This window comes from Homo sapiens, chromosome 1 (assembly GCF_000001405.40).
Source record: "Homo sapiens chromosome 1, GRCh38.p14 Primary Assembly".
Lineage (NCBI taxonomy): Eukaryota > Metazoa > Chordata > Mammalia > Primates > Hominidae > Homo > Homo sapiens.
In genome coordinates, this window is record NC_000001.11 from 67514866 (window position 1) to 67536881 (window position 22016).

Consider the following 22016-nt stretch of genomic DNA (forward strand, 5'->3'; position numbering starts at 1 on the left):
GCCATTTTCGTTGCCTGAAGCTTTCTCTAATAGAGCCTCAGAAATGGTCCCTGGAAATAATGTTTCTCAAATCCTCGTTTGTTTGCCAAAGTGTGTTTGCTGCCTTAATACTTGAATATCAGCTGAGCTGGATTTAAAATTCTTGGCTCACATTTTGAGTATTCTAAATGTTACTCCATTGATTTCTGGCATGAAACATTGATGTTGAAAGTCTGGTGACATTCTAATTTTCTTTTTCTTTAAAAATACTTTTTTTTTGCCTGTTTGCACAATAATTTTTTTTTCTTTTTCTCTAAAATCCAATAGTTTCAGAATGGAACTATTGTGGGTTGATTTTTCCCAATATATGCAATGTGTCTGTGCAATATGTAGTTTTAAGTTTTTTTAATTTTCATTTTTAATTTGAAAAAAGTTTTTTTGAACTTCAGTTTGTAGTAAAAAAACAGAAAAAGCACCAGACTCCTCTTTTTGAGAGGAAGCTGTTTTTCCTCATGCAATCCTAAGATTGTAAGTGGACAGATTCCTCTCAGACCTAAGACTCTGCTCTCTTTTGTAGGGTGTTATCTGATCTCTTTGGCTTTTGTGAGTACCAGAGATAGCTTGGTACTGTGAGAGCATTTGACCTTGGTGTGTGTGTGATGGCTGAAGGTGTGATGGCTGGTGAGAGCTACAGTGTTAGGGGTAGCTGATAGCAGTTTGCAGTTAACGTTTATTACTACAGGTGGCTACCCGCTTCTTTGGGCTTTTTAAGAAAAGTGTGGTTTGGGCCCTGAAGATTGCATGCTTTCTTGGCCCTGTCCCTTATTGGGCTCCATTCTAAAGCCAGTAATCTAAACAAGCCAATTTGAAGACTACCTATCAAACAAAATCAGTGTTTGAAACTCTTTGTGGAAGAAATTTACATCTTTAAAGGTAATCTCCATTTGTAAGGGCATTTCTGTCTCTGCACTTAAACCACTAGGAACTTTAACTCTGGGAAAGACAATGGCTTAAAGTTTATGTAACAAATCTTGCTTTTGTGTAGATCTAAGTTCTGTGCCTTTGAGGTGTAAATTTTCTACTTTCTTTTGCCTGAGTCCTCTTTTGAAGATGCAAATTTGGAGTTGCCTCTCTAACAATTGTTTAGGGAGTGGAACAGGTATGCAAGATATTACTAGCCTAAAGTGAGGAAGAAACTGAAAACTGGCAAATGAAAAATCTTTTCTTAAAAATTATTTTTATTCACTTTTTCAATTTTTCAAATGGCAGTGAATTCAATTTTATTCACTGTCATTTGAGACAGGATCTCACTCTGTTCCTCATGCTGGAGTGTAGTGGTGCAATCACAGCTCACTGCAGCCTCAACCTCCTGGGCTTAAGTGATCCTCTCGCCTCAGACTGCCAAGTAGCTAGGACTACAGGTGTGTGCCATGCCTGCGAAAAATTATCATATGGTCAAAAATTACCAAGCCCAGCTAATTAAAAAAAGAAAAAACTTTTTGTAGAGACAGATCTCACTATGTTGCCCAGGCTGGGTGAACAATCTTTTTTATTTTTTATTTTTTTTGAGACAGTGTTTCACTCCGTCCCTGGCTAGAATGCAGCGACACAATCTCGCTCATTGCAAACTCTGTCTACTGGGTTCAAGTGATTCTCCTGCCTCAGGCTTTTGAGTACCTGGGATTACAGGTGGGCGTCACCACTCCTGGCTAATTTTTGTATTTTTAGTAGAGACAGGGTTTCACCATGTTGGCCAGGCTGGTCTTGAACTCCTGACCTCGCGATCCTCTGGCCTCGGCCTCCCAAAGTGCTGGGATTACAGGCATGAGCCCCCGCGCCTGGCCGAAAAATCTTATAAATTTATAAGGTCTGCTTCTGTCTGTGTGTCTGTTATGTTTATCCAAGTCATGTGTATGTGATATTTCACTACCAAATTATATGAAAGAGCTCTAATCAATTGGACTAAAGAAAAATTAAGCACTTAATTCAGAAAAATAGATACTAGCTCAAATGCTTTTTAGTTTATGTGATTTTAGTAATCTTTGGTAAATAAAACTAGTTTCAAAATTCTCTTCAGTAATTTAAAACCTTAAAGTCACGTTATGTTAAATAAGTAATTCTGTTTCTCACTAGAAATAGGCTTACTAAGAGTTAGAACAGTAGTTAATATATGTAATTGAAACTGCTAGATACAGGAGAAACTATTCTACATAGAAAGTATATAAAGAAAGGAAGATGTGTTTTTGGTAAATGTTAAAAAACAAGATGTAGGTTTTGCTTAAAGGAAAAGTAATTGTGTCTACTTTAGAGGCTATTTAAAGACTGTTTCAAAATGAAGGAAAAAAATGATGCAGATGAAACTAAATGGAAAGAAAGAGGAAGGACAAAAAAGTGGGGAATGAGGAACCTTTGATTCCTAGCTGGCCATGTAGTCACCCATGGTATGGAGCTGTAGCTGTGCTGCATTCAGCTGCTAAAGATAAAATTTGCCTGTGAAATTTAGAGATGGCTCAAACTTCTGGGAAGTTGGTTCATTAGATGCACAAGGAGATGCAAACCAATAAGCACAAAGCTAAATATTCAATCTCTTGGTTATTTTTATCAGTAATAGCTAAAATGAAAGTTGAAAAGTTTAAACAGGCTTTATGTAAGGTAGCTTTAACCTCTTTACCTAAATGTTTTTTGATAATGAATATTGTATCTGACTAGGGGATGCTTTCCCTACCTACTACTGTGAAACAGAAGGCATGTTCATCTGCCCTTTGAGCAATGTTAATTGGGCACACTAAATGGGAACAAGTAAGACTGTCTGAGCCCACAGAGTGTAGAGTAGAAGCTGGAGTGCTGGTAGGGACAAATTCTCCACTTGACTGCCCTTTGTAGAGCCCATACTGGGGCTCATGGCAAAAGCCTATGAACACCTCCCAGTGATGACTACTGGGATTTTGGACTAGAGAATGTCCACTTGAGGGGCATTTACCACCTTGGTATGGGATGCTAACTGAAGCTACCCGTATGCTAATGGAAATAACAGGGCCCAAAAGAGTTCCATGATAAAATGGAAATGGTTTACATAGTACTGAAACTGCATTGCAAAATTGTAACTGAGACAGTGAAAGAGATTTGGCCTAACCAACTCTGTCTTGCTTCTGACCTCCAAGCTGTCCTTGTTCATTCTTGGGCATAGGCTGATCTAACTTTGGGAGGAACTTAGTTTACAGTTTAAAACAAAGACAGTAACAGCCCTTTCCCAAAACAAACCTTCTTGCCTGGGGAATAGACTGCCTTTGTAGGACTAACAAATTAGCTACACAATTAGAAATTACGGTTTAGGAGTCATGCAGCTGGAGGATACAAGATTTTGACCCTCCCTAAATTGCTCCTAAGATCAGTGCTTGAGATATTTTGCAGCTTCTGCACTTGATGGATCAGCTGGCACCACCCAGATAGATAAACTGGGTCCTCTGATCTTGCGGCCCCTCCCCACCAGGAACTGACTCAATGCAAGAGGACAGCTTCAATTCCCTACAACTTCATTTCCTACTTAACTAATCAGCACTAATGGCTCACTGGCTCCCCACCACCCACCAAGTTGTCCTTAAAAACTCTGCTCCCCAAATGTTCGGGGAGACTAATTTGAGTAATGATAAAACCGCAGTCTCCCACACAGCTGGCTCTGTGTGAATTACTCTTTCTCTATCGCAATTTCCCTGTCTTGAGACATTGGTTCTTTCCAGGCAGCAGCCAAGGCAAACCCATTGGGTGGCTACAGGATCATGCTACCTGAGGAGTACAAGAAGGAAGTACTCACAGGCAGGGAGCTTCTCTTTTTTGTTTTTCCCTAGGACCGACACTGGAACTGTGTGAGAAGCTACTGAACAGCTCTGGGCTGATTGACAAAGAGCTGCTTGGGTTGGGGATAGTAGTTCCAAGGTGAACAAATGAAATCTTGTTTGGATTTCTACTACTCGGATTGAAGAAGGGTCAAAAAAACAAAAAATGTTTTCTTTTGAGCTATTTACAGCTTACGATGATTGAGGTAAAGTATATATTTTTTTGTGAGCAAAATTTACCTTTCTCTAGACTTGAATTCTTCAAAATTTGAAAACTATTTGTGAGTATTCTTATTTTATTGGCAATATAGTTATTTGCATAAGTTTAGTAAGAATCTGTTTCCTTTTGTAACAGGACACAATTGGAGATGCTGGTCATTTTACCAGTGCTTTGACTGTGATGGCTTATCTTCACATATGAACAGACTGAGAAATTGAGTTTGGCTTTATAAAGCCAATAAAAAGTCCCTTGGAAGCCGGGCATGGTGGCTCACACCCAGCACTTTGGGAGGCCGAGGCGGGTGGATCACGTGAGGTCAGGAGTTCAAGACCAGCTCTGCCAACATGGTGAAACTCTGTCTCCACTAAAAACACAAAAATTAGCTGGGCACGGTGGCAGGCACCTGTAATCCCAGCTACTCGGGAGGCTGAGGCAGGAGAAGTGCTTGAACCTGGGGGGTGGAGGTTGCAGTGATGCAGTGAGCCAGGATAACACCACTGCACTCCAGCCTGGGCAAGAGTGAAACTCTGTCTCAAACAAAAACAAACAAAAAGAAACCAAAACCCCTTGGAAAAACTGGCCTTGTAGCTTGGTTTCCTTACAAGGTTTCTGACTGTAGTGAGAAAAGCATATCACTTTCTATCAGGCCCAGGAGCCTTAAGATATTCTGGGACCTTCTCTCTACTCTGTGAAAAGAGATAATTCCCACAAGTGTTTGCCAAAGTCTAATGGCAAGCCCTTGTCTTGGCTTCTGATCGTGACGCTTCTAAAAAGTCAAATCCAAAATTCCTTATAAAAGCTTCACCAAAGCCAACTTAAAAGGAGGCTATATGGCTGATCGCTATTATTGCTACACTTTATGTAAGGAACCAGACCAAGTATAATGACACCAGCATTTATTTTATTTATTTATTTTTTTGGGGATGGAGTTTTGCTCTGTTACCCAGGCTGGAGTGCAGAGGCGCGATTTTGGCTCACTGAAACCTCTGCCTCCTGGGTTCAAGTAATTCTCCTGCCTCAGCCTCCCAAGTAGCTGGGATTACAGGCACATGCCACCACACCCAGCCAATTTTTGTATTTTTAGTAGAGACGGGGTTTCACCATGTTGGCCAGGCTGGTTTCAAACTCCTGACCTCAAGTGATCCACCTGCCTCAGCCTCCTAAAGTGCTGGGATTACAGATGTAAGCCACTGCACCTGGCCCAAAATGTATTTTGCGAATAAATTTGACTTACTATGATTAATTCTTGGTGGAAATGGGGGCACTGGAGAGAGAAAAATTTAGATTCTAGCCCTGACCATTGTTTTGAGTTTTTAAATTATGTGACTACAATTTGGACTAATCCTGAATTATTTCCCAGCTACAAGAAATCTCTAAAAAAGAATCAGGTTCTAATTTTCTTTTTTAAAATTATTTATTTATTTATTTATTTATTTGGAGGTGTGTGTGTGTGTGTGTGTGTGTGTGTGTGTGTGTGTGTGAATTTTCTTCATGAGGCCGGGCATGGTGGCTCATGCCTGTAATCTCAGCACTTTGGGAGGCCGAGGCAGGCGGATCACGAGGTTAGGAGTTCAGGACCAGCCTGGTCAACATAGTGAAACCCTGTCTCTACTAAAAATACAAAAATTAGCCAGGCATGGTGGTGTGTGCCTGTAGTCCCAGCTACTCAGGATGCTGAGGCAGGAGAATCACTTGAACCCAGGAGGCGGAGGTTGCAGTGAGCCGAGATTGTGCCACTGCACTCCAGCCTGGGCAACAGAGGGAGACTCTGTCTCAAAAAAAAAAAATTTTTTTTTCTTCATGATGCTTTTAGTTGGCTCCTTAATGGTATAGGTTTTTCATTTTTGTTGTTCTGGAATAAAAATTCTCACTCTCTCGCTCTCTCTCTCTCTCTTTTTTTTTTTTTTCTGAGACAATCTCACTTTGCTGCCCAGGCTGGAGTGCAGTAGTGTGATCTCTGCTCACTGCAGCCCCTCCCTCCTGGATTCAAGCCATTCTCCTGCTTCAGACTCCCAAATAGCTGGGATTACAGGTGTACACCACCATGCCCGGCTACAAATTCTATTTTTTATTAAATTTTTTATTTTTATTTTTATTGTTCAGAGGCATAGTCTTGCTTAGTTGCACAGGCTGGAGTGCAATGTTGCAATTATAGCTCACTATGGCCTAAAACTGCTGGGCTCAAGTGATCTTCTTGCCCCAGTCTCCCGAGTAGCCAGGACTACAGGGTGTGCACCACCATGCTTGTCTAATTTTATTGTGTTTTAAATTTTTTGTAGAGACATTCTTGGTTTTTAGTCCAGGCTGGTATCAGAACTTCTGGCTTCAAGCAATTCTCCCTTCTTGGCCTCCCCAAGTGCTCGGATTACAGTTGTGAGCCACCATGCCTGGTCTACAAATTCTCTTTTGATTGTAATTCTTGTGTGCATTACATTTCTTTTTGAGACAGAGTCTCGCTTTGTTGCCCAGGCTAGAGTGCAGTGGCATGATCTTGACTCACAGCAACCTCTGGCAAACTCCACCTCCCGGTCTCAAAGGTCCTCCCACCTCAGCTTCCCAAGTAGCTGGGATTACAGGTGTGCCACCACACCCAGCTAATTTTTGAATTTTTAGTAGAGATGGTGCTTTGTTATGTTGCTCAGGTTGATCTCGAACTCCTGACTTCAAGTGATCTGCCCACCTTGGTGAGCCACCACTCCCAGCCTTGTATTTCTACTGTTTGTCACCCAGGCTGGAGTGCAGTGGCACCATCTTGGCTCACTGCAGCCTCCACCTCCCAAGTTCAAGTGATTCTCCTGCCTCAGCCTCCCCAGTAGCTGGGATTCCAGGTGCCCACCACCATGCCTGGCTAATTTTTGTATTTTTAATAGAGATGGGGTTTTACCATGTTGGCCAAGCTGGTCTCAAACTCCTGACCTCAGGTGATCCACCCACCTCTGCCTCCCAAAATGCTAGGATTACAGGCATACGCCACCGCACCTGGCCCAAATTATTAATTGTACGTATTCTCATTGTTCTGCTTCTTCCAAGAAAACTGAAGTCACGGTATTCTGAAGACTAGAGATGATTCAACAGGCTGTGAATCTATTCCATTTGGAATCCTACTGGGCCTGATCTGTTTTCCATTGCCAAGGCACTGCTGTTTAAGCTATACCATATGAAGCACCCTCCCTAAAGGCTCAGGGGCCATAGTGAAAGAGGACACATGGGATTGTAAGAGCCAGATTATGGGGGTGGAGGGTAAAGGCTGAAGCAAGTCCATCTTGGATGCTAACTCACTATGTTAGCTTCTGATTAACCCCAGTTCCAGGAAGGCTGCTGAAATTTCCAGTTTATGTGTTGTTCCTTGTGTAAGAGCATGGACTTACTGCAAATCCTGCCCTTAGGGCAAATTCCTACCTATTCCTGCGGAAGCATGTGTATCATTCCCCTATGGTTTATAACCCCTGAGTCTGGGGGTAATGGCACGGGGACCCACCAGCTTGTCTGCCGCCATCTGGGGTAGGTTTGCATAAACACACCTGCCCACTGCGAAACAGTTCCTCTTCCTTGCTCTCCTCCCACCTTTTACTCTGACCCCTTTTCTTTCTTTCTCTCCTTCCTTCCTTCTTTCCTTCCTTCCTTCCTTCCTTTTTTCTTTCTTTTTTGTTTTTGAGATGGAGTCTCACTCTTGCCCAGGCTGCAGTGCAGAGGCACGATCTCGGCTCACTGCAACCTCCAGCCCCTGGGCTCTAGCAATCCTTCCACCTCAGCCTCCCAAATAGCTAGGACCACTGATGCCAGCAACCATGACCAGCTACATTTTTGTATTTTTGGTAGAGACGGGGTTTCGCCATGTTGCTCAGGCTGATCTTGAACTCCCGAGCTCAAGTGATCCGCCCGTCTCAGCTTCCCAAAGTGCTGAGATTACAGGCATGAGCCACCATGCCCAGCCACCTGAGAGACATCCTCTTTTCTATGGCCTTGTTGTTCCTATCTTGCTCAGTTTGGATTTTATGCCCAGGCTTTTCTCCTCAGGGTGGAGCTTTGTCCTAGAAAGATGGTTTGGTTTGGTTTGTTTGAGAGTTCACAGGGCCCAGACCTCTAGGCCACTCCAGCGTGGCCAGAGGTTTCCCTAGTCTCCATGTGACCACATTTCTTCTCAATGCCAGCTTTGCTGCTGTTCTCCAGTGGCCCACTGAACTTTCCAGTGAGTTCCTTTGGTGATTTGGGGTCATTCAGTTCTTATGGATATCACGAGTCCCTTTACCTTCCGTCTTCTTGATGCCGTGTAGACCATGCAATTATAAGTAGCTTGTTTCCACTCACTCAAATTTTGGAGCTCAAGGAGAATCTGGTTGCTAGGGTTTGTTGTAGTTGCTGGCCATGGGTTTTTGATTTTGCTAACCTAGCTGTTGGGAATGTTTTAGTGGTAGGATGCAAGGAGATTCAAAATGTTCTACCTGATTGCACAACTTGGTAAATTTACTAAAAATTGTTGAATTGTGCACTGAATATGGGTAAATTTAAAAAATATATATGTATATATTTAATAATAAAACAGACATGGGGTCTCACTATATGGCCCAGGCTGGGCTTGAACTCCTGGGCTAAAGCTATCATCCTGCCTCGGCCTCCCAAAGTGCTAGGATGACAGGCATGAACCACCTACTGCACACGGCTGCTTTTCTGTTCTTAAGACCATTATGCCCACTGTTAGAGAAGCACTACACTTGTTGGTGAAGTGGTCACCTGCAGGAACAGCTCCACCAGGCAGCGTCTTTTTGCAGGGCCAGCAAGACTGGTCACCACTGTTTACCCCACTGATCAGTTCTAGAAGCAAGTAGATCCAGAGACACCACTACTGAGTTTCTTCATGGCCAAGACTTCTGCTCTTCTAGCACTGGGTGGATGATAGGAAACCATGCACATTCTTTTTGGTAAAACAGGGAGCCCACATCTGAAGAACAGCAAGTACCAAATAGGGCAAACTGAGTTAGAAAACCTGGACTTAAATTACAGCAAGGTAGATTGTGATCATATCACCAGGGATGTGAAATGCAGGACTGATGGTTAAGCACTGGCAACTAGAGTAAGACAGGTTCGATTTAGAATGCCATCTCCATCATTTCTTAGCTATGTGGTGTTAGGCAAATTTTTTACCCTCTCTGAGCCTCATTTTCCTTGCCTGTTGTTTAGTATTAAGGGTTAAATGAGATAACACATACAAAGGATTTAGTGTAGTAACAGGCATTATCAAGCATTGGTTAAATGCTGGGCTGGGTCTCCAAGACTGTGGGCTCCTCCTTAAAACTCCTTACTGAGAAAGACATTTATCCATTTTTGCAGTTTGACCTCCCCTTGTCTGAGGTCAAGGTGGCAGATTTGCTTCCCGTCTTTCTTAGCTTTATAAGACCTAGGAGAGCCAACACAGAGTTGGTGCAAAATAGAATTTCAGGGAAGTGTCTGCAGGGGGCAGAATTTCAACAGGGAAATAACTATCATTAATGTTTGACACAATCACAGCCATTAGCTATTGTCACTGAAACGATTATCCAGTGGAAGGAAAACAAACAAAAACCCCTGCACCCTGTGATCAAATGTTTCATAGAAACCATTGCTGACTGGGTGGATACAGTAGGTCGTTCTGTGCTGTGGATACACACCTTTTGTCTCCTACCCAGGCAGGGATCCTGGATGGGGTGAGGCTGTCTGAGCTGCAGGCTTGGGAAGCAAACCAGAAAGGGCAGGGAGGCAGCTTGAGGGTTTCTGTGGGCTGGGCGTGTTTTTGCTGTCTCTGCGGGGTTGTTTTGATCTCCCAGGCACAGAACATTTGAGTGCTCTTTGCAAAACCCTTTTTCGGGACTCATTGATGATGAAATGCCACTCCACAGAGGCGATGAGCAAAGGAACACCACTGGACATCTGGATGGGACACATGCTAGGCCCCTCCACCCCAACATGTCCTCAGTGACACTCATCACTTGCCTCCCAAACTGGTTCCTCCTCCAGTTCAGTGAATTATGTCACCATGACTTAGTCACCATGCTGAAAATCTGGGTGTCCTCTCTCTTCCTTCTCCCTCTCTGCCCACTTTCCTCTCTCCCTGTGGCATTCATAGATTCTAGCTGACTAACCCAGAGGCACCCTAGTGCTCACCATGCCTCTCCAACTGAGTGTAGACCATTCCTCCCCACTTGATCATGGCAATGGTCTCTCTAAGTAAATACCTGCCTCTAGCCACAGCCACATGCACCTCACCATTTCCTTGCAGTACTCCCTGGCCATCTTTCTTTATTTTTCTGGAGAAAGGGCCTTGCTCTGTAACTCAGGCTAGAGTGAAGTGGTGTGATCAGAGCTCACTGTAACCTTGAACTCCTGGGCTTAAGCGATCCTCCTGCCCCAGCTTCCTGAGTAGCTAGGATCCCAGGCACACACCACCACTCCTGGCTAATTTTTAAATTTTTTGTAGAGATGAAGTTTTGCTAGGCTGCCCAAGTTCTATCCTTCTAAAACTAGACACACACCCCACTAAAATTTTAGTGACATTATTACCAAAGAAAGGAGAGCACAGATACTAGGAAATATAGCTGTCTTTGTCATGTGCATTATGAGCCAGGCACTGTGCTGAACAATACACATAAATCTCTCAATCATCAAGATTACATGAAAAAGGCATGCAGAACTCTAGGTCAGTGGCATTTCCTTTTCCTTTCCTTCAGTAAGTCTTTTCTCAGCTACAACTTCCTCCTTTAAGGATGCTAGAGATTTTTGCTCAGGGACTGGAGACATTCCCTTATAGAAAACATTATTATGTTCTATTTAATGTATAAGAAAACAGAGGCTCAGAGAGGTTAAGTAAGTTGACTAATGCCACGCAGTAAGGGAAAAAGTCTTAATGTTATCTCGGGTAATCTGACTTCCCAGGCTTCCTGTTTAACCACTTACGCTAAACTAAGGACAAGTAATAAGGTCCTTGCATCTCAGGAACATGGGCCAGTAGGACAGGTGGATCTAAACAAGTACCGTTAATGAGGTATGACAGATATTCTGGAGACCTGAGGGAGAAGTGGGCCAGTTGTTTTCCTTACCTTTTCTCCACACCTCACAGCTTGGCTTTTACATTGTATCAGCATAGTCTTCACAATTTTGAGGTCAAAATGTTTTAAAATATTAGAAGGCCGGGAGTGGTGGCTCATGCCTGTAATCCCAGCACTTTGGGAGGCAGAGGCAGGAGGATCACTTGAGCTTAGGAGTTTGAGACCAGCCTGGCCAACATGGTGAAATCTCATCTTTACAAAAAATACAAAAATTAGCCGGGTATGGTGGTGCACGCCTGTAGTCCTAGCTACTCAGGAGGCTGAGGTGGGAGGATGGCTTGAGCCCCAAGAGAGTGGTTGTAGTGAGCTAAGATCATGCCACTGGACTCCAGCCTAGGGGACAGAGTGAGACCCTGACTTAAAAAAAAAATTAGAAAATACTGTACAATTGGAGAATGGGCCCAGTGGAATGATTGTTCTCCGCCTAGCTCTGCTCCCATGTCCCGCAAATTGCGCCCCCACTCAGTGTAGAGCCTTTTACTCCTGCTATTAGAGTCATGATCCACGAAGCTTCTTCAAAAAGAAGGAAGGAAGGAGAAAGAAAGGAAGGAAGGAAGGAAGGAAGGAAGGAAGGAAGGAAGAAAGAAAGAAAGAAAGAAAGAAAGAAAGAAAGAAAGAAAGAAAGAAAGAAAGAAAAGGAAAGAAGGAAAGAAAGGAAGGAAGGAAGGAAGGAAGAAAAGAAAAAAGAGAAAAGAAAAAGAGGGAGAGAGAGGGGGAGGGAGGGAGAGAAAAGAAGAAAGAATCGTGAGCAGATTCTGATAAGCTCTGATCTTTGATCTTGGGACATTGGTGAGTATGACATCTTTTTTTTTTTTTTTTGAGACGGAGTCTCACTCTGTCGCCCAGGCTGGGGTGCAATGGCGCGATCTCGGCTCACTGCAAGCTCCGCCTCCCGGGTTCGCGCCATTCTCCTGCCTCTGCCTCCTGAGTAGCTGGGACTACAGGCGCCTGCCACCACGCCCGGCTAATTTTTTGTATTTTTTAAGTAGAGACGGGGTTTCACCGTGTTAGCCAGGATGGTCTTGATCTCCTGACCTTGTGATCTGCCCGCCTTGGCCTCCCAAAGTGCTGGGATTACAGGCGTGAGCCACCGCGCCCGGCCAGAGTATGACATCTTTTATGTCAAGGGACAAAACCCTGTTTCTCCCTTTGTGGGGTTACAGCACAAAGTCTGACAGCTCACAAAAATGAACCTTCACAGATCTATCCATCAATTCTTCTCTCTCAGAAAAATGCGGTCGCTACTAAACGGGCCCTGGACTTCATTTCCATGGGGAGCACTGTATGAGTGTGCCCCTGAAACTAGTGTCCTTCTCCCTCCGTCCCTCCTCTCTTCTTTCCTTTCTCTTACTTTCTCTTTTCCTTCCTCCTCAACTGTGTATTAAGATCTTTTTCTGCCAGGTACAGTGCTGGAAGCGGGGATACAGGGACAAATAAGACACAGATCCTGTTCCTAAAGAGGTAATGTTCCCATTATAGAAGGGAAGAACATGGACTTTGGGGCCTGAGTGTGTCAAACAAAATTCCAGCTCCACTACTTGCCAGCCGTGTGATCTTGACAAGTTCTTTAACCTCTCTGGGTCTCAGTTTCCTCATGTGTGAGATAGTCTAACACAGGAATCTGCCTCAGAGTTGTTGTGTGGCTTACAATGAGAGGATTATATATGTTATGCACCTAGAATGGTGCCAGGCACATGAAAATACTACATAGGTATTTATTATTATTTGCATACTGTATAGTACAGTCCTGAAAGCTGCATTCTGATCACTTATATTCTCCCAAGATAAATCACACAGCATGGCACATAGTAACTTCTCAATCCATAAAATCATAATTTGAATGGAAAATTCTGGAATTATTTTAGGTAAGCTGTTATTTTGTTCCTCCTTGCTGAAGTGTGAAGAATACACAAAACTAATCTGTTACGGGAATTTTATGAGTATGACATCTTTTGTGTCGAGACAAAACAATGATAAAAACCTAGTAGTGAAGACAGGCTGAAAGGCTTAACTATTGCCATCTAAGTTGGCCTGGAATGAATTCTCTACCCTGGGACCCAAAAAGTGGTGATAAGTTATGAATTAAACTGGACAAGACAATCCTAGGCCTGCTGACTCTAACCGGGGATTAGCAATGTGCAATAGAGTTCAGCACTCCAACTTTTCTTTCTTTCTTTTTTTTTTTTTTTTGTATTTTTTAGACAGGGTCTCACTCTGTTGCCCAGGCTGGAGTGCAGTGGCACGATCATGGCATACTGCAGCCTTGACCTCCTGGACTCAACCTCCCGAGTAGCTGGGACCACAGGTGGTTGCCACCACGCCTGGCTAATTTATTATTATTATTATTCTCAGAGACAGGGTCTTGCTATGTTGCCCAGGCTGGTCTTGAACTCCTGGGCTCAAGTGATCCTCCTGCCTTGGTGTCCCAAAGTGCTGGGATTACATGCATAAGCCACTGCATCCTGCCAGCACTTCAGCTTTCAGCAAAGGAAAAAGAAAGAACAAATTTTAACCAAGCTTCACCATCCTCACAATACACATCGTGTGTGTGAGAGTGGGGTGGTAGTGTTGGCCAGGGGGTGTGCTGGGAGCATGAATCTGCAGTATCAATTGAGGAAGCCAATATTTTAAGCTATTCTTGGATTGAGTTTTTTTTCCCATTTCTGTTAGAGCATTTATTTATTAATTTTTTGAAGTGAGAGCAAGTTTATTAAGAAAGTAAAAGAATAAAAAGAATGGCTACTCCATAGGCAGAGCAGCCCAGACCATTTCTTTTAAAGGTGTTATTAGGAATAATTATTACTCTCTTGGGGACTTTCTTTTTATAAAGTTAAGTAATCACACGTGTGTTTGAAGTAGGTCAACAAAGAGGAGTTGTCTGGTTTTGCTTTCTAAGCAACTCTGCCTGTATTGTCATCTACATAACTTTTTAATTAAAAGTCTCTTTCAAGTTCACAAATAAGAACTGTCCCCCTGCTGCCTGAAAGCGCTGATTTACACTGACAAATGTCTCAAAAAGGCATGTCACAAATATGGGTAGACAAAAAGATTATTCATGTTCACAGGATTTAAAGCAGGGATGTCTAATCTTTTGGCTTCCTTGGGCCACACTGGCAAAATTGTCTCAGGCCACACGTAAAATACACTAATACTAGCAATAGCTGATGAGCTAAAAAAAAATTGCAAAAAATATCTAATAATGTTTTAAGAAAGTTTACAAATTTGTTTTGGGCTGCACTCAAAGCTGTCCTGGGCTGCACTGATTTAAAGCTTTGATTCAAGTGTTTCTACAAAGACAAGTGGGACTGGAACAGCCAATATTATTTCAAAAGTCATGATATTACTCGGGGCTTGGTAGGGCTCAGGTAACTTATCTGAATCAAAAATTAAAACAGAATGATGCTGTGGGTGAGCCAGGCAGACTTGTGAATGTGACCTTCTTTGGAAAAAGGATCTTTATAGTTGTAATTAACTTGAGGCTCACTCCAAGTCCAGCTGCATCAGTTACTCATTGTGTATCTTGGGCAAGTTTCTTTTCTGAGCCTCAGTTTCTTTGTCTACAAATTGGAGCAAATAATAAAACTCTACAATCTTCAAATCCAAAAGTTTTGGAAACTGATGCTCTATTCTTTTATTTTTTAGTTTTTTGAGATGAAGTCTCGTTCTTGTCCCCCAGGCTGGAGTGCAATGGCATGATCTCAGCTCACTGCAACCTCTGCCTCCCGGGTTCAAGCAATTCTCCTGTCTCAGCCTCCTGAGTAGCTGGATTACAGGTGCGTACCACCACACCTGGCTAATTTTTTGTATTTTAAGTAGAAACGGGGTTTCATCATCTTGGCCAGGCTGGTCTCGAACTCCTGACTTCAGGTGATCCACCCACCTCGGCCTCCCAAAGTGCTGGGATTACAGATGTGAACCACCGCACCTGGCCTGGAAACTGATATTCTATTCTTAACTACTTTGGTGATGAAATCTAATTGACCTGAACTAATTTATTCATAAAACCCTTTCATGTGGCTTTTTATAGTCAGTGTTTATTTTATTTAATGTTAATCTACATGTTTTGCTACACAATTATTAAAGTATTAGTTTAATAATTGGAGTACAACCCCAGACCCTGCTGGGGGTGGCACATACTATGTTATACTTGTAACATTTTTTTTCTTAAAAATGTATACAATTTTGAGTTTCAAAACACACCTGGCCCCAAAGATTTCAGACAACAAACTGTGGACCCATATCTTCCTCATAGGATCATGACAACAGCATGAAACAATGCAAGTAGAATTTCTGGAATACCCTATGTTAATGCCATTTCCCTTCCCCTTTTCCCTGAAGAGTCTTTTCTAAGGCACCAACTACTTCCTTCAAGCAGCAGCCAGAGATCTTTGCTTAATGGCTGGTAAGGTTTTTCTAAACTTTTGGCATCTATATCTGTTGGTCCAACTTGCCTATTAGTCTGTAAACTCCTTCAGGGTAGGGATTGTGTTCCAGTGATTAGCGGCACACAATCTTCCAAAAGTTTAACAAATATTTAAAAAATAGGCTGGGCACGGTGGCTCACGCCTGTAATCCCAGCTCCTTGGGAGGCTGAGGCAGGAGAATTGCTTGAACCCAGGAGGCAGAGGTTGTGGTGAACAGAGATCGCACCATTGCACTTCAGCCTGGGCAACAAGAGTGAAACTCCGTCTCAATAAATAAATAAATAAATGCAGCAATTATTTATTAGATTTCTGGTGGGACTCATAGTCTCCTGATCACATTTTGGGTAGGGATGCACCATGGAAGGGGGATTTACTACAGAAGTACAAGAAAAGTTTTGGAGTCTTGGGGAAGCCAGCAGAAGAGCGCAGCCGTGGGAGGCAATGATAGGGACTCCCTGCATCCAGGTTTGCTTGGCACTCTCCCACTTTAAACCTGTTGTCACAGGACAATCATTGACTCATGTATTAGTCTGTTCTCACGCTGCTAATAAAGACATACCTGAGACTGGGTAAGTTATAAAGAAAAGAGGTGTTTTTGCTTTTGTTTTTGTGTTGAGACAGAGTCTCACTCTGTCGCCCAGGCTGGAGTGCAGTGGTGCAATCTTGACTCACTGCAACCTCCGCCTCCTGAGTTCAAGTGATTCTCATGCCTCAGCCTCTGAGCAGCTGGGATTACAGGTGTGCACCACTATGCCTGGCTAACTTTTGTAATTTTAGTAGAGACAGGGTTTCACCATGTTGGCCAGGCTGGTCTCGAACTCCTGGCCTCAAATGATCCACCCACCTTGGCCTCCCAAAGTGCTGGGATTACAGGTGTGAGCCACTACGCCTGGCCAGAAAGAGGTTTAATTGACTCACAGTTCAGCGTGGCTGGGGAGGCCTCAGGAAACTTACAATCGTGGTGGAAGGGGAAGCAAACAGGTCCTTCTTCACATGACAGCAGCAAGGAGAAGTGCTGAGCAAAAGGGGGAAAAACCCCTTATAAAACCATCAGATCTCATGAGAACTCACTCACTATCATGAGAACAGCAGCATGGGGGTAACCATCCCCATGATTCAATTACCTGCCACTGGTTCCTCCCATGACACATCTGGATTATGGGAACTACAATTCAAGATGAAATTTGGGTGGGGACATAGCCAAACCATATCAACCCCCATTTTTTCTCTTGCATTCTCAAATATATCTTCATTTGGATAAATCATGTGGACACCCTGTACAAGCAGCACCAGGGGGCAGTCTCAGGGTGGAAGGAGTTTTTTTTGTGTGCAGAGTGGAAGGGGAGGGGGGTTCACTAAAAGGAGAGAAGAGGGTGCCTAGAAAGGCAGACTTGAGGGGTGGAGGAGACAGAAGTGAGGCTAGCAAAAACCTAGATCCCCTTAGCAATGATTAAGAGCATAGTCTTTGGAATCAATAGACATGAGGCTACATGCCAGCTGTATAACTTATTGACTGTCTAACATATTGTAGTGGGTTAAATTGTGGCCTCTAAAAAGATACATCCATGTCTTAACTCTAGGAACTTATGAATGTGACTCTTAGAAAAAGAGTCTTTGTAGATGTAATTAACTTAAGGCTCTCGAGAGGAGATCACCCTGGATTATTCTGGTGGGTCCTAAATCCAATGACAAATATCTTTATAAGAGAAACACAGAGGAGAGACCCAGAGAGAAGGAGAAGGCCGCATGAAGATGGAGCAGAGACTGGAGTTATTCAGCCAAGTCAAGGAATGCCTGGAGCACCAGAAGCCGGAAGAGGCAAGGAAGGATCCTCCCTTAGAGCATTTGGAAGAGTGTGGCCCTGCCAACACCTTGACTTCAAACTTCTGGCCTCCATAACTATGAAATAAATTCTTGTTGTTTTAAGCCACCAAGTTTGTGGTAACTTCTTACAGCAACCCTAGGAAATTAACACACAGAGTGTCAGTTACCTAAACATTGTGAGCCTCAGTTACCTTATCTGAAAATGGGGCTAAAACTTAGACCTACCTTTTAGGGCTGCTTTAAGGAGTAATAGAAATTATACATGGGAATTACATGGCACCAAGTTGTTCCTTAATAGAGGGAAACTGTTATGATGGCGGAAGAGCAGTAATGAAATACTGAATTCATCCAGCAGATGGCAGAAGATGGATTTGCAAACAAGAGGACTTCATAAGGTTTGCTGCCCAGCAATGCAGCTCCAGGCCTAAAGTAGCCTTCCTAGCTCACAGACTGATGAGGATTAACCCTCGCCAACTCAAGTGTGCTCTCAGCTCTGTAGAAACTAAACTAATTCTGTTTTCCTTTGACCATTGTACACCACAGAGGCTGGCAATGGAGAATATAAAGAGTGGTGCAACAGAAAATACCTGGGTTCTAGGCTCAGCTCTGTCACCTCATTAGGATTCAGTTTGCCCATCTGTAAAGTAGTGACAAGATGAAATACCAAGTGTAACGTAATTAAAGGGCTGTTGTGATACCAAAATAACATAATGTGTAAAAGTGCTAAAAACAAGATGCCATAAAGCACAGAAGGGGCCCAGGAGAGATTAATTCATGGAGAACTTACTCGTTTTTTTGAGACAGAGTCTCACTGTGTTGCTCAGGCTGCAGTGCAGTGGCGCGATCTCAGCTAACTGCAATGTCTGCCTCCTGGGTTCAAGTGATTCTTGTGCCTCAGCCTCCTGAGTAGCTGAGACTACAGGTGCACGCCACCAAGCCTGGCTAACATTTTTTGTATTTTTAGTAGAGATGGGGATTTCACCATGTTGGCCAGGCTGTTCTCAAACTCCTGTCCTCAAGAGATCCGCCCACCTTGGCCTCCCAAAGTGCTGGGATTACAGGCATGAGCCACTGTGCCTGGCCTAATTAATGGATAACTTCTGCAAGAATCCAGGGTCACGGTTGATTTGTTTATTCATTTATTCACTCAGCAAACATTTCTTTGTGCCAGGCATTGTGCTAGGTCCAGGGAATACTGCTTACGTTGGAGAAGTTCGCATTCTAGTTTGGGTGGACAAACATGTGATAAAGATGTGTACAGGGCATAGTTTTCTCTCAGCAGCTAGGGTAACATTCCAACTCCATGTTTTGGTTTAAGAAACACATTTGATTTTATTTAAAATATTATATATTTTCTCTTTTATTTCTTTTCCCTATTTACAATAAGGCTTACTTGCAAAATTAAGAAATACATTTGAGTGGGTAGTTCCCTTGGTAAAACATTTATATTTCCTTCTTAATTTCTTTGTAAAAGTCTACTCTTAAACACTACTATTTAGAGTTAAGTGAGAAAAGAAAATTGCAGGACAGAATGCACAGAAAGATCTATTTATCTATCTACATAAAAACTGGAAGAATACACTCCCATACTGTTAACAGTGGCTACCTCTAGGGAAAGGGTGAAGTGATATTTGAAAAAATGGGGCTTTTACCTTTTCTTTTCTTTCCTTTTTTTTTTTTAGACAGAGTCTCGCTCTGTCGCCCAGGCTGGAGTACAGTGGTGCGATCTCGGCTCACTGCCAGCTCCACCTCCTGGGTTCACGCCATTCTCCTGCCTCAGCCTCCTGAGTAGCTGGGACTACAGGTGCCCGCCACCACGCCCAGCTAATTTTTTGTATTTTTAGTAGAGACGGGGTTTCACCGTGTTAGCCAGAATGGTCTCGATCTCCTGACTTCGTGATTCACCCGCCTCGGCCTCCCAAAGTGCTAGGATTACAGGTGTGAGCCACCACACCCAGCTTTTTTTTTTTTTTTTTTTTTTGGTTTCTTTTTTGAGACAGAGTTTCGTTCTTGTTGGCTGGGTTGGAGTGCAATGGCGTGATCTTGGCTCACCGCAACCTCCGCCTCCTGAGTTCAAGAGATTCTCCTGCCTCAGCCTCCCGAGTAGCTGGGATTATAGGCATGTGCCACCACACCCAGCTAATTTTGTATTTTTAGTAGAGATGGGGTTTCTCTATGTTGGGCAGGCTGGTCTCAAACTTCTGACCTCAGGTGATCCGCCTGTCTTGGCCTCCCAAAGTGCAGGGATTACAGGCGTGAGCCACTGTGCCTGGCCTTACCTGTTATTTTCTATACTCCTATATCATTTGCATTTTTTAAAAACAAGCACGCACTTCTTTTCCCATTAAAAAAAGAACCGTAATATTTTTTCATGACCCTGTCCCAGAAAACTCTTCTGTACTCACATGGCTAACTCAAACACTGTGGTGTACACTGCTGAGGGAGCTAGTTGTCTCTCTTTTTGAAAGAAAATTAAAAGGAAGAGGAAAGTCCATATTTATTTTCCTTTGTACTCTTGTAGAGGTCATCTAATCGGAAGTGTTCCAAGCTGCTTTAAAGCCCCTCTCCTCTTTAAAGTGGTTTACAAACATTAGCTCAGCACCCTTCAGGGCCTCATAGTGAGGCGGGCTCATATAAGAGGCTAGTGAGTCATAAGGAAGTGGCAGCTGTGGTTGCCATGTCAGTGGTCCTAATAACACCCCTAACATGTGTCTCTGGCTGTACTGTGCTCAAAGGGCTTTCTCCTGCATTATCTGGTGTAACCCTTCTATGACCCTTGGGAAGTCAGGTCAGTACTGCTATTCCTTTATTATATAACAGATGGAGAAATCTATAATATAGGTTCTGGAAAGTGAAATGATAAGCCCAAGATGGGGAGGCCAGTCAGCATGAGGGTTTCACATCACTTATATGTCAATTACTGCACAGCACAAAAGAGAGGATCACTAATGTCAAACCTCGTATAACATAACTTTGACATTGGGGAGGTAGGAGAGGGAGAAGAGCAAACAGTCTTTCTGCCTAATCTGCCCCTTTTTTTCTTTCCTCCCTTCTTTCTTTCTATCCTCCCTCCTTCATTCCCTCTCTGTTTCTACTCCATTGGGAAAAGAAGAGGTGAGGAAGAGGACCCTATTAGAGAAGTAAACAGATCATCACAATTCAGCAGCCAAGTTTTATGCAAATTTAAATTATGCCACAGATTTGAAGCAATGTGCCAAAATATATTAATCAAGTCTCATTTATATGCAAATATTGAAGAAAAGAGAAGCTTCTCACACTGTAAATTAGTCGAGTTTCTCCAGTTCAATACAGGAAGGCTGAGTGACTTGCAGGTGGTGTTCACACTTTTGCCACATGGGGACGCCACCACCGTTGGTAGCCGGACATACTGGCACTCCGTCAGGGTGGAATATGTGAGCATTGCATAACACAAAGTTTCACTCACCCTCATCACTCAGCTTGAAAGGACCATTAACACAGTTTTCTCTCCCATTAAACTAAATTCCTCAAAGGCAAGCTTAGACTTATTCTTTTAAACCCCATCTCCTAGACCAGTGTCTGACATATAGTAACTTACCATTAAGATTTTTTTCTATTAAAAGTATTCTTTTTTTCTTTTCTTTTCTTTTCTTTTTTTTAAGACAGAGTCTTACTGTGTTGCCCAGGCTGGAGTGCAGTGGCGTGATCTCGGCTCCCTGCAACTTCCGCTTCCTGGGCTCAAGCGACTCTTGTGCCTCAGCCTTCCAAAGTGCTGGGATTAGAGGTGTGAGCCACTGTGCCCAGCCTTAAAAAGTATTCTTAACACAAAAAATTTCAAATATATCCCAAAGTACAGACTATAATATAATGAATTCCCTTGTACTCATTATCCAGCTTCAACACCTACCAACTCATGGTCAATCATCTGTCCTCTATATACCCTATTTCTTAGAATCAAATACACAAATGTAAATATTTTGGTGTAAGACACTGTAAAAAAGAAAAGAAAAGGAATGTAATTGCTAGGCCTCTCTCACTGACTTTAAAATACCTGGGTGGGTGGCGGTGGGCAGAGTGGAGAGAAGGAGCATTTTTCTAGAGGTCGCAGCGTTTTGTGGAACAATTTCCTGTAATGGGAAAAATTGAGACGGGTAAGAGGAAGGAATAATGATTATTACATGCCAAGTGTTGTGCATTATTATTTAATTTCACCTTTCTGGGAGATAGAGGTATGACGTACCCATTTTAAAGATGAGGCTCAGAGATGTTGAGTGCTGTATCTTCAGCAAAGCTGGGATTGGAACCCAGCTGTGTGTGGCTTCAAGGTCTGTATTCTCCACCCTCTGATAGGACGAACTTGCAATGCATATCAAACCAAATCCACCCATGGTTTGAGGCTCTCCCTCCCGCCCATGTACCTAAATCCAGCTTCATTCATAGGGCCTTGGGGGACAAGCCCCTGAGGGTTACTCCAGCCCTTTGGAGAAGGGAGGGTTTCCATGCCCAGAGTGTCAAAGGGGAATTCAGTTTCTTATTCAACAGAGCTCATTTCCTCTTGTTGCTTGTCCTAAGAAAATGACTGCCTGGAGTCCCAGAGAATTTGTAAGTAAATTTGTAGGCCAAGAGTGGTGGCTCCCACCTGTAATCTCAACACTTTGGGAGGCTGAGGTAGGAGGAT

The 22016-nt window shown here is 43.2% G+C and overlaps 1 long non-coding RNA gene across 7 annotated transcripts, besides 4 other annotated features; it reads left to right on the forward strand.

Moving 5' to 3' along the window:
- Positions 189–830: an enhancer, noted in NCBI's record as "OCT4-NANOG-H3K27ac hESC enhancer chr1:67980737-67981378 (GRCh37/hg19 assembly coordinates)". NCBI's record gives its function as "activates a minimal SCP1, AML or CMV promoter by ChIP-STARR-seq in primed H9 embryonic stem cells {active_cell/tissue: H9 hESC(primed)}" and the evidence as "EXISTENCE:reporter gene assay evidence [ECO:0000049][PMID:30033119]".
- Positions 831–1470: an enhancer, noted in NCBI's record as "OCT4-NANOG-H3K27ac hESC enhancer chr1:67981379-67982018 (GRCh37/hg19 assembly coordinates)". NCBI's record gives its function as "activates a minimal SCP1, AML or CMV promoter by ChIP-STARR-seq in naive and primed H9 embryonic stem cells {active_cell/tissue: H9 hESC(naive and primed)}" and the evidence as "EXISTENCE:reporter gene assay evidence [ECO:0000049][PMID:30033119]".
- LINC01702 (long intergenic non-protein coding RNA 1702) lies at positions 7499–17465 on the forward strand. 7 transcript variants are annotated; one of them, NR_199725.1, is made up of 5 exons: positions 7499–7533; positions 12513–12572; positions 14754–14884; positions 15450–15513; positions 17241–17465. It is a non-coding gene; the product is annotated as a long intergenic non-protein coding RNA 1702 (long non-coding RNA). The 7 variants fall into 7 exon arrangements; NR_199724.1 differs by having other exon boundaries at positions 14788–14884; NR_199723.1 differs by lacking the exon at positions 15450–15513 and having other exon boundaries at positions 14788–14884.
- Positions 18361–18655: a silencer, noted in NCBI's record as "tiled region #10397; HepG2 Repressive DNase matched - State 5:Enh". NCBI's record gives its function as "represses a minimal TATA promoter and a strong SV40 promoter by Sharpr-MPRA in HepG2 cells {active_cell/tissue: HepG2}" and the evidence as "EXISTENCE:reporter gene assay evidence [ECO:0000049][PMID:27701403]".
- Positions 20621–20915: an enhancer, noted in NCBI's record as "tiled region #12925; K562 Activating DNase matched - State 8:EnhW". NCBI's record gives its function as "activates a minimal TATA promoter and a strong SV40 promoter by Sharpr-MPRA in K562 cells {active_cell/tissue: K562}" and the evidence as "EXISTENCE:reporter gene assay evidence [ECO:0000049][PMID:27701403]".